Source organism: Homo sapiens, chromosome 1 (assembly GCF_000001405.40).
Source record: "Homo sapiens chromosome 1, GRCh38.p14 Primary Assembly".
Lineage (NCBI taxonomy): Eukaryota > Metazoa > Chordata > Mammalia > Primates > Hominidae > Homo > Homo sapiens.
The window spans coordinates 112,377,649-112,394,019 of NC_000001.11; the positions used below are offsets into that span (position 1 = coordinate 112,377,649).

Consider the following 16,371-nt stretch of genomic DNA (forward strand, 5'->3'; position numbering starts at 1 on the left):
CTTCCAGTGCTATGTTGAATAAAAGTGGTGAAAGTGGGCATCTTTGTCTTGTTTCAGATCTTATAGGAAAGGCTTTCAGTTCAGCATGATGTTAACTATGGGTTTGTCATATATGGCCTTTATTGTTTTGAAGTATGTTTCTTCTATACCTAGTTTGTTGTAAGTTTTTATTATAAAGAGATGTTGAATTTTATCAAATGCTGTTTTATGCATCTATTGAGATGATCATATGGTTTTGTTCTTTATTCTGTTGTACAATTTGGTGTATCACATTTCTTGATTTGTGTATGCTGAACCATCCTTGCATCCCTGGAATAAATCCCACTTGATTCTGGTGTGTTATTATTATTTTTTTTTTTGAGATGGAGTCTCGCTCTGTTGCCCAGGCTGGAGTGCAGTGGCGCGATCTCTGCTCACTGCAAGCTCCGCCTCCTGGGTTCACACCATTCTCCTGCCTCAGCCTCCCAAGTAGCTGGGACTACAGGCGCCCACCACCATGCTCGGCTAATTTTTTTGTATTTTTAGTAGAGACGGGGTTTTACCGTGTTAGCCAGGAGGTCTCAATCTCCTGACCTCGTGATCCGCCCGTCTCAGCCTCCCAAAGTTCTGGGATTACAGGCGTGAGCCACCGTGCCCAGCTGTGTTATCTTTTTAATGCATTGTTGGATTATGTTTGCTAGTATTTTGTTGAGAATTTTTGCATCCATGTTCATCAGGAATATTGGCCTGTAGTTTTATTTTTGTTGTTGTTGTATCCTTATATGGTTTTTGTATTAGAGTAATGCTTATCTTATGGAATGAGTTAGAAATAATTCTCTCCTATTCATCTTTTGGAATAGTTTGGAAATAATTGGTGTTACTTTGGAGGGAGCTTTTAATACAAAGGAAATGTTCTATATCTTCAGTGGGGGCTACAAGAGTGTATATACTTGTCAAAACTGCACCAGAACTGCCTGTCAGCTGCTCAGGTGGTAGCATCTGATGGTGGCATCTCTCTGGGAACTGTACATTAAAAATAGGTGCATTGGTTGTATGTAAATTACATCTCAATAGAGTTGATTTTTTAAAACGAAGTAGAAAAAATATAATTAAATTAATCCCTCTCTCCTGATTCTCCACCAACATCTCTGGAGAGTACTCCTTAATCTTCTTTATAAATTCTTCATATTTCCCTTTGAAACTCAGGGGTTACTTGATGTTCCATTCTTGATCCTCTTCTTCTCCCTCATATAACCATAATTATTTCACTCAGTATTCGTGTTATAACTACCACCTATTTGAGGATCGTTCCCAAATCTACATTTCTTGCACAGACTTTTCCCCTGAGCTCCAGATAGCTATATCCAAATGCTTAATGGAAAATCTTTATCTCAAGCTCAACATGTCCAAAACTAAGACAATTACCACACATAGGCCAGAAGCAGTGGCTCATGCCTTATAGGCCAGGAGCCCAGGAGTTCAAGACCAGCCTGGGAAATATAGCACGCCCACATCTCTACAAAAAAAAAAAAAAAAAAAAAAAAAAAAAATTTGTTTTAATTAGCCAGGCATAGTGGCATGTGCCTGTAGTCTTAGTTACTCAAGAGGCTGAGGTGGGAGTATCGCTTGAGCCCAGGAGTTCGAGGCTGCAGTGAGCTATGACTGTGCCACTCTACTCCAGCCTGGGTTACAGAGAAAGATTCTGTCTCTAAAAAAAAAAAAAAAAAAAAATTACCACACATAACTTTAAGCCTACCTTTCATACAATATTCTTTATTTTTTTTCTTTTTTACTTTTTCTTTTTTTCTTTTGAGATAGAGTCACACTCTGTTGCCCAGGCTAGAGTGCAGTGGTGCAATCTTGGCTCACTGCAACCTCGGCTCACTGCAACCTCCACCTCTCAGGTTCAAGTGACTCTCGTGCCTCAGCCTCCCAAGTAGCTGGGATTACAGGCATGCACCACCATCCCTGGCTAATTTTTGCATTTTTAGTAGAGACACGGTTTTGCCATATTGGCCAGGCTGGGGCTCAAACTCCTGGCCGCAAGTGATCCACCTGCCTCATCCTCCCAAAGTGCTGGGATTACAGGCGTGAGCCATTGTGCCTTGCCCTATACAATATTCTTCATATGCATTGATGCGCTGTGGCTGACACATAGTAAACACTTTATATATTATTTGTTGAATGAATGAAATGTGAAATAACTAACAGCCAAATATGTCTTCAATTCTCTCTCACTCGCCTATATTATTAAGCACGTGACCAACATGCTTTGTGGAAATTATTTTCACAAATGTTAGTTCATTCTCTTATTCCTTTCTCCTCCCCACTACTACCTCCACTCCCACCCCAGATGGAGAGAGGGTGAGAATGGAGTTGGCACACATCTCTGAATGGCACCTGCTCAGATTGACAGGCTTCAGTATTTCAAGATAAGAAAAGCTGCTCTCCTCTTCCCCTTCTTTCCCCCTTCCAACATCATGGTCACCGCCAGAACTGCCTGCAATTGGTATTCTGGGCAGATGTAGCCAGCTGTAAGGTGCGTTATCTGACAGTGCATCTGTCTGGAAAACCAGAAGAAGGAAAAGGAAAACTGTGTTTAGAAGGTGTATTTTTCTCTTCCCCAGGTAAGCAGGAGAAATAATAGAATTCAAATTGTAATAACCATGCAACAAAACTTCTGCACACTAGGTGTTTATCCCAGTTCATAAAAACAACTATTTTAAGGTAATGAAAAGAACTCCCTGTTGGGGAAGCAAATGGAACTACATGTTTCTGAAACAGTTTGAAAGAAAACAGCAAACTCAATGACCAGACAGCAAAAACATGTCAAGCAGATTGGCACAGTTTGCCTCACTCACAAATCTTCCCCAGACAAGGCTCCAGGAAAGGCTGGACCCCTTGAAATCATACTACACATCAGGAAACCACGTGACCTTCTATTGTCAAACCCATACAGCCTACTCAGCTTCAGTGGGGTGTAAAGGCTCCCCTTTTTTTCTATACTCAGAGCCTAAGAATTCAACTTCATTTCTGTTTCTTTAATGGTACCCTACCAACTCTGAACCTTGGGACCCTGTCCCCCAAGTCCTTTTCTCTGTTGTCTCTAAAGACAAACATACAAGCTTTTATGATTGGAAGAATTAACTGCTAATCACTATAGGAAAATAGACACGGAAAAACAAAAGCAACAAAGATGAAAACGTTTATTTACCTAAGAGCTCTTATATACAGGGTAACCAAATGTCCCTGTTAGCCCAGGACGGTCCCAATTAACATCTATTTTCCTGGCATAATTACTAATTGCAACCGCTTCACTCTCAAAAGTATCATGTTTGGTCATAAAGTAGAATAAGTTATCCTATTTATATGGCACTTATTTTATGCCAGGCATATAAACGTTAATCTATTTGATCCTCAAAGCAATCTCATGAGCTAAGAAATGTTTTCAAAGTAATCAGACCAAAGCAGGAGAGGTTGAGTAGCTTGCCCAAGGGTACACATATAGTCAGTATCTGAGCCAGGATTTGCCAACAGAGGCAACTGGCTTCAATATCCTTGTCCTTAACCATTGTGGTAAGCTATGATAAAGCTTTAGGAAATCAAGTGTTCTTTCATTTAATAAGTATTATTAATGCCTACTATGTGCCAGGCACCATGCTACAAACTAGGAATACAGAATGAAACAGGCAGAGGACGTGCCCCAAGGAAACTTTCAGTCTGAGGGAAACAAAGATACAACTAAAAAGACAAGGAGTACAGGTACAGGGTGCATTGAGAACAATTGGTATAGAGGTGGGAGTGGTATCTAATCAGGCATTAAGAGATCATGGAAAGCTTCCTGGAGGAAGTGACATCTGAGGAGAGTGCTGAAGAAAGGGTATTTTATCTAGACTGGAAGGACCAGGAAAATCTGGTTCAGGCAGAACAGCAAATCAGATGGTCCTAAGGCCAAAGAAATCACAATGAATTCACATAGTTCAGTAGGGTTAGTGTTGCCTGGGGTCAGGGAAGGAGCAAAAGTTGGAGCTAGAAATATATACAAAGGCCAGATCAAGAAGGGATGTTACTGACATGCTCACATTTGCACTTTGTCCTGAAGTTAATGGGAAGCTCATGGCTTACTAGGAACTTAAGCAGAGAAGTGACCTGATCAAATTTTCACTTTACAAAAATCATTAGTGCTGCCATGCAGAAATGGTTTGAAGAGGCAAGAGCCAGAGCAAACACAGGAAACTCAGACAGAATGCTGTTGCCAGGATCCATCAGAGGGAGGAAGCAGGCTTGAACTAAGGTGGTGACTAGAGATGCAGAAAGACTTGGTATATCAAGGAGGTAGAACTGGCAGGACTTGGTGATGAGGAAGATGTGGTGGGTGAGGGGAAAGAAGGGTCATGGATGCCAGAGAGATGTCCCATCTGAGTCTGGAGCTCAGGAGAGAGACGTGGGCAAGAGACATAAATTTGGGAATCACCCATGTAGAGATGGTAATTAGGCCAGCTGGTTAGATGGCTTACCCAGGGGAGTCTGTAGAGTGGGAAGTGGAAGAATTTGCAAGACCAGGCATGGTGGCTCATGCCTGTAATCCCAGCACTTTGGGAGGCCAAGGTGGGAAGATCTGAGTTCGAGACCAGCTTGGGCAATGTAGGGAGATCCTGTCTGTAGAAAAAAAAATTTTTTTAATTAGCTGGGCATGGGCTGGATTCAGTGGCTCACGCCTGTAATCCCAGAACTTTGGGAAACCGAGGCAAACAGATCACCTGAGGTCAGGAGTTCAAGACCAGCCTGACCAACATACAGAAACCCCATCTCTACTAAAAATACGAAATTAGCTGGGTGTGGTGGCACATGCCTGTAATCCCAGCTACTCGGACTCGGGAGGCTGAGGCAGGAGAATCACTTGAACCCAGGAGGCAGAGGTTGCAGTGAGCCAAGATCACACCATTGCACTCTAGCCTGGGCAACAAGAGCAAAATTCTGTCTCAAAAAAAAAAAAAAAATTACCTGGGCATGGTCGCATGCGTCTGTGGTCCCAGCTACTCAGGAGGCTGAAGTGGGAAGATCACTTGAGCCCAGAAGGTGGAGACTGCAGTGAGCTATGATTCCACCATTACACTCCAGCCTGAGTGACAGAGCGAGACCCTGCCTCAAAGCAAAAAAAAAATAGAAAAAAGTAAAGAAAAGAAAAAAAGAACTGGCCACATAATCCAGTGTTAGTGTCTCTCCTCACAAGAAAATACGAAGAAAAATACTGGCCATGGGCTGGGTGGGGTGGCTCACGCCTGTAATCCCAGCACTTTGGGAGGCTGAGGTGGGTAGATCACCTGAGGTTGGGAGTTCGAGACCAGCCTGACCAACATGGAGAAACCCCATCTCTACTAAAAAATATATATATATATATAATTAGCCAGGCATGGTGGTGCATGCCTGTAATCCCAGCTACTTGGGAGGCTGAGGCAGGAGAATTGCTTGAACCCAGGAGGCAGAGGTTGCAGTGAGCCGAGATCGTGCCATTGCACTCCAGCCTGGGCAACAGTGAGACTCTGTCTCAAAAAAAAAAAAAAAAAAGAAAAGAAAAAGAAAAGAAAGGAAAAAAGAAAAAAACAGGCCACAAAGAGTTGGAACGAGCAGAGATGGGAGAGACTGAGCAGGAAAGCTTGATGTCCTCAGGGCCGCCAAGAGAAAAGGAAAAGAAAAACAGTGTCTAAGGCTTCATGGGGCACAAGTTCGGGGCCAGGCATATCCACACAGTTTATCAACAAGATGGTGTTTGCAAATCTTAAGGGTGCAGTTTCACTTGCAGGCAGGAGTGAGACTGCAAGGGGAAGAGGAGAAGCTGCAAGGTGGGAACAGGGAGCAGGGAGTGTCTCAGGGAGAATTGTGCAGGAGGTGGAAGTAGAAGTCATGTCCCAGAACAGAGGCATCCAGCACCCTGCTTTTGTGTACGTGTGGTAAGAACACTTAAAATGAGATCTAACCTCTAAATAAATGTTTAAGTGTACAGAACATTACTGTTGACCATAGGTATGATATCATACAGCAGATCTCTAGAGCTTATTCATCTTGCTGGACTAAAACTGTATGCATGCACATTGATTAGTAACTCCCCACCTCCCCCTCCCCTCAGCCCCTGGCATTCCACTCTTTGCTTCTATGAGTTTGACTCTTTTATTTTATTTCATTCCAACAGCCTGGGAGAGTTTGACTATTTTAGGTGCCTCACACAGGTGGAATCATGCAGTATTTATCTTTCCATGACTGGCTTATTTCACTTAGCAGCTTGTCTAAAGTTTGGTCAAGGAGAGAGTCTTTGTCACCAGTTGGCTGGGGCACAGAGAGTGAGGGGGCAGATCTGCTCTGGCTTATTCTGGAGAGATAAGCAGCAGTCAAGGCTTTGTAAATCCAGTTATCCTAAGAGCACTGAGAAGTTCTAATTGGGAAGGAAGTGATATGACATGATCAGATTGTGTTTTCTCAAAATCTACTCAGATTGCTCTACGGAGAACAGGCTGGAGGGGGTGAGAAGGAATGCTGGAAGACTAGTTAGATTGCCAGTGCTATTGTCATGACAAGAAAATGGGCAGAACAAGGTGATGGTGGTGGTAGAAACAGACATAGAGGGATTTGAGAAATGTAAAAGGTGAAACTGACAGGACTTGGTGATAGATTGGTGGCAGGGAGAAAAAGGTATCAATAAATGGCTTGGTATCTCATTTAATCTTTACTACAACCCTGTGAAACACATTATTATTTCCTCCATGTTATGGATAAGGGATTTGAAACTCAAAGTACTTGAGCGACATGCCCAGATCACACAGCTGGTAGGTCTGGCTCTAAAGTGACGCCCGCTCCACTATGTTATACAACAGTCAAGCAGTTCTTCCTTAAAGAATGGTCTCTTTCCTCGTACACCACTGAAGGCTATGCCTAGTCAATACTTCTACTAATAGCATGGTACTTCACCTACAATATTCTCATTATCTGTTTGCCTATACAACAGGAAAATAAATAAGAATATTATCACAGAAGCCGGCCGCAGTTTAAGCCAGCTGACCTCCAAGGACAGTACAAATCAATTCCTTTGCTGAAGAAGGTGACTTCTTGGGCTTATCTGGCTATAAAAAGTGAGGGCCCCTGAAGAGAGCTGAGATAAGAAAGGTTAGGGCAATAAGAAATTAACTTGCTCTGCATGACAAAGTTACAGGAATTTTGAAGAAGGAACCATAGCCATTAATATAGTTTGGATGTTTGTCCCCTCCAAATCTCAGGTTGAAATGTGATCTCCAATGTTGGAGGTGGGGCTTAATGGGAGATATTTGAGTCACGAGGATGGATGCCTCATGAATTGCTTGGTGCCCTCCCCATGGTCATGACTGAAGTTTCATTCTATTAGTTACCATGAGATCTGATCATTAAAAAGAGCCTGGACCTCCTGCTCTTCTCTCTTGCTCCCTATCTTGCCATGTGACATGCCTGCTCCCCCTTTGTCTTCCACCATTAGTAAAAGCTTCCTGAGGCCTCACCAGAAGCTGAGCAGATGCTTGTGCCACTCTTGTACAGCTTGCAGAACCGTGAGTCAAATAAACCTCTTTTCTGTGTAAATTACCCAGTCACAGGTATTCCTTTATGGCAATGCAAAGTGGACAACTACAACCATCATGCCCATCACTGTAACCCTAGTGCCTAGAACACAGGTACTCAACATATTTTGTTGAATGAATTTGCTTTAAGAAGGGGGTTATGTCTGGAAGAGAAGATGGGAGGCAGGGTCTGGAGAGAAGTGGCGTTAGAAATTAATGAAGAAACAGGAGTGGCCGGGCACGGTGGCTCACGCCTGTAATCCCAGCACTTTGGAGGCCAAGGAGGGCAGATCATGAGGTAAAGAGATGGAGACCAGCCTGGCCAACATGGTGAAACCCCGTCTCTACTAAAAATACAAAAATTGGCTGGGTGTGGTGGCCCACATCTGTAGTCCCAGCTACTCGGGAGGCTGAGGCAGGAGAATCGCTTGAACCCAGGAAGCAGAGGTTGCAGTGAGCTGAGATCACGCCACTGCCACTGCACTCCAGCCTGGGTGACAGAGACTCCATCTAAAAAAAGAAAAGGAAAAAAAAAAAGAAAGAAAGAAACAGGACTGATGAAGTCTAATGGAATTCCTTGAAATGGGATGGTCCATGGCTTTCTACAAACAGTATTAACTGATACTAAATTTTAAATTTTCTGTTTTAAAAGAAAAATTGTTATAAAACTGGACTGGAATAGAACTTTGTATTACATAAATCATGTAAATTTCTGGTCAAATGTTTATACAGTTGTCTGATATACATTAAAGGCAAACTCTCTCTTGTGGGTGATATTGATGTCAGTGGTGGGCCATCTGGAGCAGCCACTGCCACTGCGCCAACTGCCGCAGGGAGGTGAAAGTGGTGGTGGCAGAAGTAGCTGTGAGAGCAGCAATGGTGGTGGTGGGTCCCCTGTGCCCCATGTCTGGAGACAACTGACTGCACCGCCCCCACCCTTGCATGGCCAGGTGGGACCCACTCCCAGGCCCGGAGCTTCTGCAACTCTGGACCCTGGCACCGCATCACGGCTTTTGCGTGGCGCCCCTGCAGGAAGGGTAGGGGGAGGAGGGATAGCTGGGCCTAGGGCAGTGCTGTGCTCCAAGGGAGTCAGCAGGAGCCAGGGACAAGTGGGAGCATGCCCAGAGCCCACTGTTTGGGGGCCGCCACAGTGAGGCCAGCCGAGCCACCCACTGGCAGAGGAGGAGGGTGGTTGGGCATGCAGGGGTGGGCAGAGAGGGGTCCAGTGAGGACCTGGAGTCCCCCACCCCAGACTGCAAGGAGATGCCACCGGAGCTGCATGCATGCTCCAGGGATTGGGTGACAGCCCCGCCCTCCCAGACACAGGACCTGGGTGTCTCTGTACTCTGCACCCTCAGGGGCCCAGGAAAGCTCCTGCTGCCTCCACAGGCTCGAGGGTGTCTGCTCCTACTGCCTGGCCTTTCCCCACTCCTGGTGCCCACTCTGATCTCAGAGCAGGGTTGAGGCAGATTGCGGGGGGCAATGGGGTGGGGGGAGCTGAGGTGGGGCAGAGGGCAGGTTGGAGCTGGCCTGCAGGTGCCCCTTGGTGGGAGCAGCCTGGTCACCATGGATGGCAATAGGAGGCAGATAGGCTCCTGGGTGGAAGGGGGCAGGTCCCTGGTGAGGCCTCACCTTTAGGCCAGGGAGGGCCCAAAGGCTGGAGGCCAGGCTACCAGTCCCTCTGACCCTAGTGGGGACTTGTGGTGCCTTTTCCGGGCTGCCCATGGACCAACTGACATGCACTTCCTCCCCTCTGAGGCCAATAAAAGCCCCAGGCTTAGCCAGAGCTGGACAGATGCCAGCTTGAGCTGACCTGTGAATGAGAGCAAATGTGAAACAAACTCTCAAGTACATAGTACATACTATTTTCTTCCCAAACATCCATCCCCACTTTTTCTGGTAATAGAGATAGATAGATAGATAGATAGATAGATAGATAGATAGATAGATAGATAATAGATGGATGGATGGATAGATGATAGATAGATAGATAGATAGATAGATAGATAGATAGATAGATAGATAGACAGACAGACAGATAACATTTGAGGCTATAACTTTTTCCTACTCTTCATCCATGTCTGCAGGCACATGACCTAGATCTAGCCAATAAAAGCAGCCTATCCCTGGCCACGATGACTGGTTCAGGGATGAACACACAGTCCAAGCAGAGCCAAGGAGATAGTGGGATCTTTCTCCCACTTCTGGAAAAGAGCAGGTGCTCTTTCCTATTGAATACGACAAGATATGAAGCCTGAGCTACTGTGCTTATTGCCAGCTGAGGAAGAATGCCTGTCTAAAACAGAACCAACACAGAGGAAGCAAAGTTGAGAGACACAGGGATAGAAACCTGGTCCTGGCTGGGTACAGTGGCTTGCCCCTGTAATCCCAGCACTTTGGGAAGTGGAGGTGGAAGAAGCACTTCAGGCCAGGAGTTCGAGACCAACTGGGCAACATAGTAAAACTACAAAAAATTCAAAAATCAGCCAGGCCTGGTGGCTCACTACCTGGGAGGCTGAGGCAGGAGGATTGCTTGAGCCCAGGAGTTGGAGGCTGCAGTGAGCTATGATCACACCACTTGCTCTGTCACTCCAGCCTGAGTGACAGAGCAAGACCAGAAAGAAAGACAGAGAGAGAGGAAGGAAGGAAGGAAGGAAGGAAGGAAGGAAGGAAGGGAGGGAAGGAAGGAGAAGAAGGAAAGAAAGAAGAAGGAAAGAAGAAAAAGAAAGAGAGAGAGAAAGGAAGGAAGGGAGAGAAAGAAAGAGAAAGAAAGGAAGGAAGGGAGGGAGGGAGGAAGGAAGGAAGGAAGGAAGGAAGGAAGGAAGGAAGGAAGGAAGGAAGGAAAAAAGAAAAGAAACGAAACCTGGTGGTCCTGGTAACATTTTTGAGAAAACTGATCAAGCCTCATCTGAGGTCAGACTATTCCTGGACTTTCCTATTGTATGCGCCAATAAAAATCCTTTTGCCATTTTGGATAACGATTTCTGTCCCTTACATCTGGAGTCCCGATGATGATGTAAGATAGGGATTTGAGTTATTTTATTTGGAAAGCATGGCTGCAGAAAGCAGGAGTACCTGGGTCCATGAGTTACGCAAGTCTACCTCCTTTCAAGACTGAGTGCCCTGAGGTCCAAAGCCTGTGTTAGTTATCACTGCAATGTTAACAGGCATTCAATGATTATTTTTAGGAATAAAAGGAGGACAAGAAAAAGGCAAGTGGAAGAAAGAAAAGGGGATGGGAAATGTATAAACTCCTCCCAAGAAAGCGGGTCACCTGGTCACTTTGTTCAGGGCAGACTGGTCCTGCAGGAGCCCAGCAGGAGCATGAAGCAGGAAATGAGGGCACAGAAGCATCCAGCACCAGACTGTTCCAAAGGGCCATTTACCAGGAAATTGCCTAGAAATGACGGTGCAGCCATAACCGGGTCATTAGTTTCCCTACAAATATTTCTCCCTTTTGTGTGCAACAAGGACCCATTCAGCCAACTGTGTGGTGCTTCAGCTGAAATAACAGACCAGAGGAAATGTGTAATTGGCTTTCATCAAATTGAAACTGTAAGGCAGCCTAGCCAAGCTGAAGCTCTGTCTCTGGCCCTAGCACAGAAATTATTTTCTGCTTAATGTGAGGTTATATGTGGGAAAGAAGGGGAAATAGAGGGGAAAAAGAAAGAGGACCAGCCTTTGGGTCAGCTTCAGCCCTTCTGGCAAGGCTACTCAGAGCTTTGTCTTAACAGCCAACAAGGACAGAAAAGGAATCTGGCTCCAGACTTTTGGAGAGGAAGGGACCTGGGACAGAGGAAGAGAGGCAGTAAGGGGAGGGGTGGGAAGAGAGGGAAGGAGTTACTCTTTAATGAAATAAGGTAACTTACAAATTAGTTTTTAAAAAATAGTTCCCAACTGATATCTTTTCCCACCAGACTATTTATGTGAAATTTACACCTCAAAATAACAAACATAACGTCAACCAGTTTGCCAACTTACCACCTGGCATATGTGATGGTAACACATTTAATAATTATTTAATAATTTTAATAATTTAATAAAATGTAATCAATAATTTAATAGAGAAAAGTGAAAAAGAAAATTTGTGACTCACCCAAAGGGACATAAAGCATTATTCCAGGGACCTATGACTAATCTATATTTTGGGTGTGAGGGGAACTTTGTTGAATGATTTGGGAACTCTGTGGTATAGCTTATATATTTCCAGTAATTTTTTTTTTTGAGAAGGAGTCTCACTATGTTACCCAGACTGGTCTTGGACTCCTGGACTCAAACAATCCTCCTGTCCCAGCCTCTCAGGTAGCTGGGACTACAAGCACACTCCACCGTGCCCTGCTTATTTCTGGTAATTTTCTATCTGGAATTTTCTCTCTCATCTACTTCCAGGAATTTTCCATCTACCTTTCCTTTTAGGTCTCTTTGAGCTTTGCATTTCCCGTCCTGGCCCATCAGCTTCAGGGGAACATGTGAGTTCCACACAGAATTACTGGAGGGAGACAGGACTCAGCTCCTCTGAAGGCCCTCCCCGGGGCCCCTGACAGCAATATTGTTGTGCAGTTCCCATAGTGCTGCTCTGGTCATGTGCTTCCCTGAGCAAATTGTCCCCAGGATCCTTTGGACTTCTGCCTTGGTGTTTTCATTGCCATCATCTCAGGTTGAGAACTCCAAAAGACCACATGACAATGGTTTCCTGGTCCTCAGGAAGAACTGCCGAGCAGCAGCAGTAATGGAAAGAACATTGAGTCACACAGGCCTGGGCCCGAGTCCCACCTCTACCACCCACCACCTCCATGAGGCCATGGCGGAATAGAAACAGTGTGGGACTGGAAACGGGAGGACCTCGCTGTGTGACCTCAGGCAGCTTCTCAGTTATTCCTTTCTTACACTAAAATCTCAGTTACCTCATCACTAAAATGAAGATTATGATCACCACTTTAAAGTGTTGCTGTGGGGATTAAAAGAAATCATATGCCTGGTGTGGAGTAGGCACTAATTAATTGGCTAATGTTGCTATCATATTGTTATTGTTATTATGTGACCTTGGGGAAGACACTTAACCTCTCTGAACTTGCTTTCTCTTCTGAAAAACTAGAAGTAATAAAAATTACCTCTCAGGATTGTAGCAATAATTATATATGCAAAGGTTACAAGGATTGTTTATGTCACATATGTACCTGGTAGGCACCCAATGTTAGATTTCTATCCCTCTCACTTCTGGACTTCCCCTAATGCAATCTAGGATAAGAGTTTAAAGCTTCCGGCTGGGCGCGGTGGCTCACGCCTGTAATCCCAACGCTTTGGGAGGACGAGGTGGGCAGATCACTTCAGGTCAGGAGTTCGAGACTAGCCTGGCCAACATGGTGAAACCTTGTCTCTACTAAAAATACAAAAATAAATTAGCCGGGAGTGGTGGCAGGCGCCTGTAATCCCAGCTACTCAGGAGGCTGAGGCAGGAGAATCGCTTGAACCCGAGAATCGCTTGAAGCAGAGGTTACAGTGAGCCGAGACCGGCGCCATTGCACTCCAGCAACAGAGCGAGATTCCGTCTCAAAAAAAAAAAAAAAAAAAAAAGAGTTTAAAGCTTCCATCATGGCCAAGCTGGCCCCTACATTTTGCCAAACACCAAAGAATCTGTCTGTCCCTGAGGTGGATTTTTGAGCTGCCAGTCCTTGGAGTCCCCACCTGCTGTGCTGTCAGCCCACACCCTTAAAAGGAAAAACTGTGTTGGGCGGGAGGCATCAGAGGGACGGTCAGAAAGGAAGCCGACGGCTGCAGGATTCACTATTCGACACTAGGGGGCACAATAAGCTCGGGAACACTTTAGGGCCACACCCAGAAATCTCGTTTCCTGGTGCCCGAGTCTCCCCAGATAGGGCAGATCCAAGCAAGAAGAGAACGTTTAAGGACTGCCCAGCAAATCCTTTGTGGGAACAAATGATGGGAGAAAATGCAGAAATGCAGGGGGCAGTGGAGGGCACACCTTGCCTTCGGCTTCAGCCTGGTCCGGGGCTTGGAGAGCCCTCTCTGGCTTTCAGACTTTGACCTCCTCATCAACCCCGGGGAGAAGGGGTGGGGTCGGGAAGCGTGAGGAAAAGGAGATAGTGAAGACAAGCCAGAAGAAAGAAAGCATTTCTTTTCATCACTTTTCCCATTCATTTCAACTTCTACATCTAGCTCACTCAGCACTCAGCATCTTAATAAGTCCCAGTCCAGTGGGCCACAGCTAGAAGGAGCCTTATGGAGTCCCAGATGTTTAGTTGGAGCCTAGGACTCAGAGAAGAGGATTGAGCAAGATCTCCCAGGTAGCTAATACTTCCATGTACATCAGATCGCTTGGATACTGACAACCACCTGGTCTTGTAGACAGGAGCTATTATCTCATTTAACAAATGAGGAAACAAGTTCAGGTAAGTGCCCATAGCTCTCCTCCTAGCTACTAAGCCTTCATTGCCACCCACTATTCCCGCTTCTCTTGCTTTCCCTTGTTTTAAAATCAGTCCAGGCCGGGCGCGGTGGCTCCTGTAATCCCAACACTTTGGGAGGCCGAGGCAAGTGGGTCATTTGAGGTCAGGATTTCGAGACCAGCCTGGCCAACATAGTGAAACCCTGCCTCTACTGAAAATATAAAAAATTAGCCGGCAGTAGTGGTGCGCGCCTGTAATCCCAGCTACTTGGGAGGCTGAGACCGGAGAATAGCTTGAGCCTGGGAGGCAGAGGTTGCGGTGAGCAGAGATTGGGCCGCTGCACTCCAGTCTGGGCAACAGAGTGAGACCCTGTCTCAATAAATAAATAAATAAATAAATAAATAAAATAAGTCCAAACTTTACACATAATTCCAGGAAATTGCTACTCAGCTCCAAATATTCTATAAATCAAAATTGAAAATATTTGTTGCATTCCCCATCTTCCTAACCCACTTAGCATGATGGAGAGATGATAGAGCATAGTAATTTTGAGAGTGCACTTTGGAATCAGATCTAAGTAAATATTCTGTGTTCATCACTTATGAATTCCATGACTTTGGACCTCTTTGTGCCTCAATTTCCTCACCTGCAAAAGGGGACTGTTAATATCTATCTCGTGGAATTCTTTTAAGGGTGAAATGAGATGTCATATAAAAAATTGCATAATGCTTAGCACATAATTTGATAGCTTGATTAATGTATCTAGCATATATCATTATATTAAATCATAGGCTGAAATGATCTTTAGGAATTATTCCACTACTTTCATGCCTTTTATCAATGAACTTAAATGGAGTTAAGTGAGAAGGTTACTTTGCCAAGTAGGTTTGTGTATCGGGTCGAATGATGTCCCCCCAAAATTCATGTGCACCCATCTCAGACTGTGAATTTATTTAGAAATAGGGTCTTTGCAGATGTCATGAGTTCAGATGAGGTCATGGTGGAATAGAGTAGGCTCTAAGTACAACATGAGTGGGGCCTTTATAAGAAGAGGAGAGGACATACAGAGACGCTGAGACATAGAGAGAAGGCCATGTGAAGACGGAGGCAGGTATTGGGATGATGTAGTTACACGCCAATGATCACTGGGAACCACCAGAAGCCAGGGGAGAGAGGCATGGGATGGAGCATCTCTCAGAGCCCCCAGAAGGAGCCAACCTTGTCAACACCCTGATTTTTTTTTGTTTGTTTGTTTTTTTGAGACAGAGTTTCGCTCTTTGTTGCCCAGGGTGGAGTGCAGTGGCGCGATCTCGGCTCACTGCAACCTCCATCTCCTGGGTTCAAGCGATTCTCCTGCCTCAGTCTTCCAAGTAGCTGGGATTACAGGCACCCGCCACCATGCCCAGCTAATTTTTGTATTGTTAGTAGAGACGGGGTTTCACCATGTTGGCCAGGCTGGTCTAGAACTCCTGACCTCAGGTGATCCACCCACCTCAGCCTCCCAAAGTGCTAGGATTACAGGAGTGAGCCACTGCACTCGTCCAACACCCTGATTTTGTACTTCTAGCCTCAAGAACTGAGACAGAACACATTTCTGTTGTTTTAAGCTGCCCAGATAGAAACTACTATAGTTGATGACAGAATAAGAACTAGACTCCAGATTTTTTAACCTCTAGCCTAGACCTCTTTTACTCCATTGCTGCCTCCCCAAACCAGCAATAAACATTTATGGAAATTTACTTATTTGGAAAAAAATTGACACAATCTATAATTTTTAAGCACTTTAAGTTGTTGCCTGACACAATAGGCATTTAATAAATATTTTACTGTCCAGTTGATAAAATGATAGACATTAAAATGTTATATTTTGTTATACAAATCTAAGATATTGTTATGAACCATTTTTTACCTCTGCGTACACCTATGCACCAGACTCTAAATTTATTTACAAGGTTTATGTATTGAAGAATCACAAACCTCCATAACTCTCTCACTGCTACAATCTGAAAGATACACGAGGTTCACAAGCCCTGCCTGTTCCCTACTTCTAGGGGTGAAAAATTAAAAGGAAAGCAATCTGAACACCCTCAAGACTCTGAATCCTACAAGGCAGGGATGTTCTCATTTTTGCTGAGTCCTTCTACACTCATTTAGGAATACGCAGAAGGGAAGCCAGGAAATCAGGGGAGTTGCCCATTGCTCTAAAGGAAGTAGGTCACAGAGCACTGCTCCCACCCAGTCAGCCAGGGAAAAGAATGGGTGGTGGTGGGTTAACAGCTACAAAGGGAATGAGGGAAAGAAAGGAGGACCTGCCGGGCATGGTGGTTTACGCCTGTCATCCCAGCCACTTTGGGAGGCCAGCAGGTGGATCACCTGAGGTCAGGAGTTTGAGACCAGCCTGGCCA

At 45.0% G+C, this 16,371-nt stretch overlaps 1 protein-coding gene across 1 annotated transcript in view, besides 2 other annotated features; it reads left to right on the plus strand.

Annotated features, from left to right (window-relative positions):
- Positions 8,152 to 8,687: an enhancer, noted in NCBI's record as "H3K27ac-H3K4me1 hESC enhancer chr1:112928422-112928957 (GRCh37/hg19 assembly coordinates)". NCBI's record gives its function as "activates a minimal SCP1, AML or CMV promoter by ChIP-STARR-seq in naive H9 embryonic stem cells {active_cell/tissue: H9 hESC(naive)}" and the evidence as "EXISTENCE:reporter gene assay evidence [ECO:0000049][PMID:30033119]".
- Positions 8,688 to 9,222: an enhancer, noted in NCBI's record as "H3K27ac-H3K4me1 hESC enhancer chr1:112928958-112929492 (GRCh37/hg19 assembly coordinates)". NCBI's record gives its function as "activates a minimal SCP1, AML or CMV promoter by ChIP-STARR-seq in naive H9 embryonic stem cells {active_cell/tissue: H9 hESC(naive)}" and the evidence as "EXISTENCE:reporter gene assay evidence [ECO:0000049][PMID:30033119]".
- The window catches only part of CTTNBP2NL (CTTNBP2 N-terminal like), a 70,078-nt gene continuing 67,145 nt past the window's right edge, over positions 13,439 to 16,371 (plus strand). The window contains exon 1 of the mRNA XM_017001806.2: positions 13,439 to 13,969. The gene's annotated coding sequence lies outside the window, so the exon portion shown is untranslated. The remainder of the gene's footprint in view (positions 13,970 to 16,371) is intronic.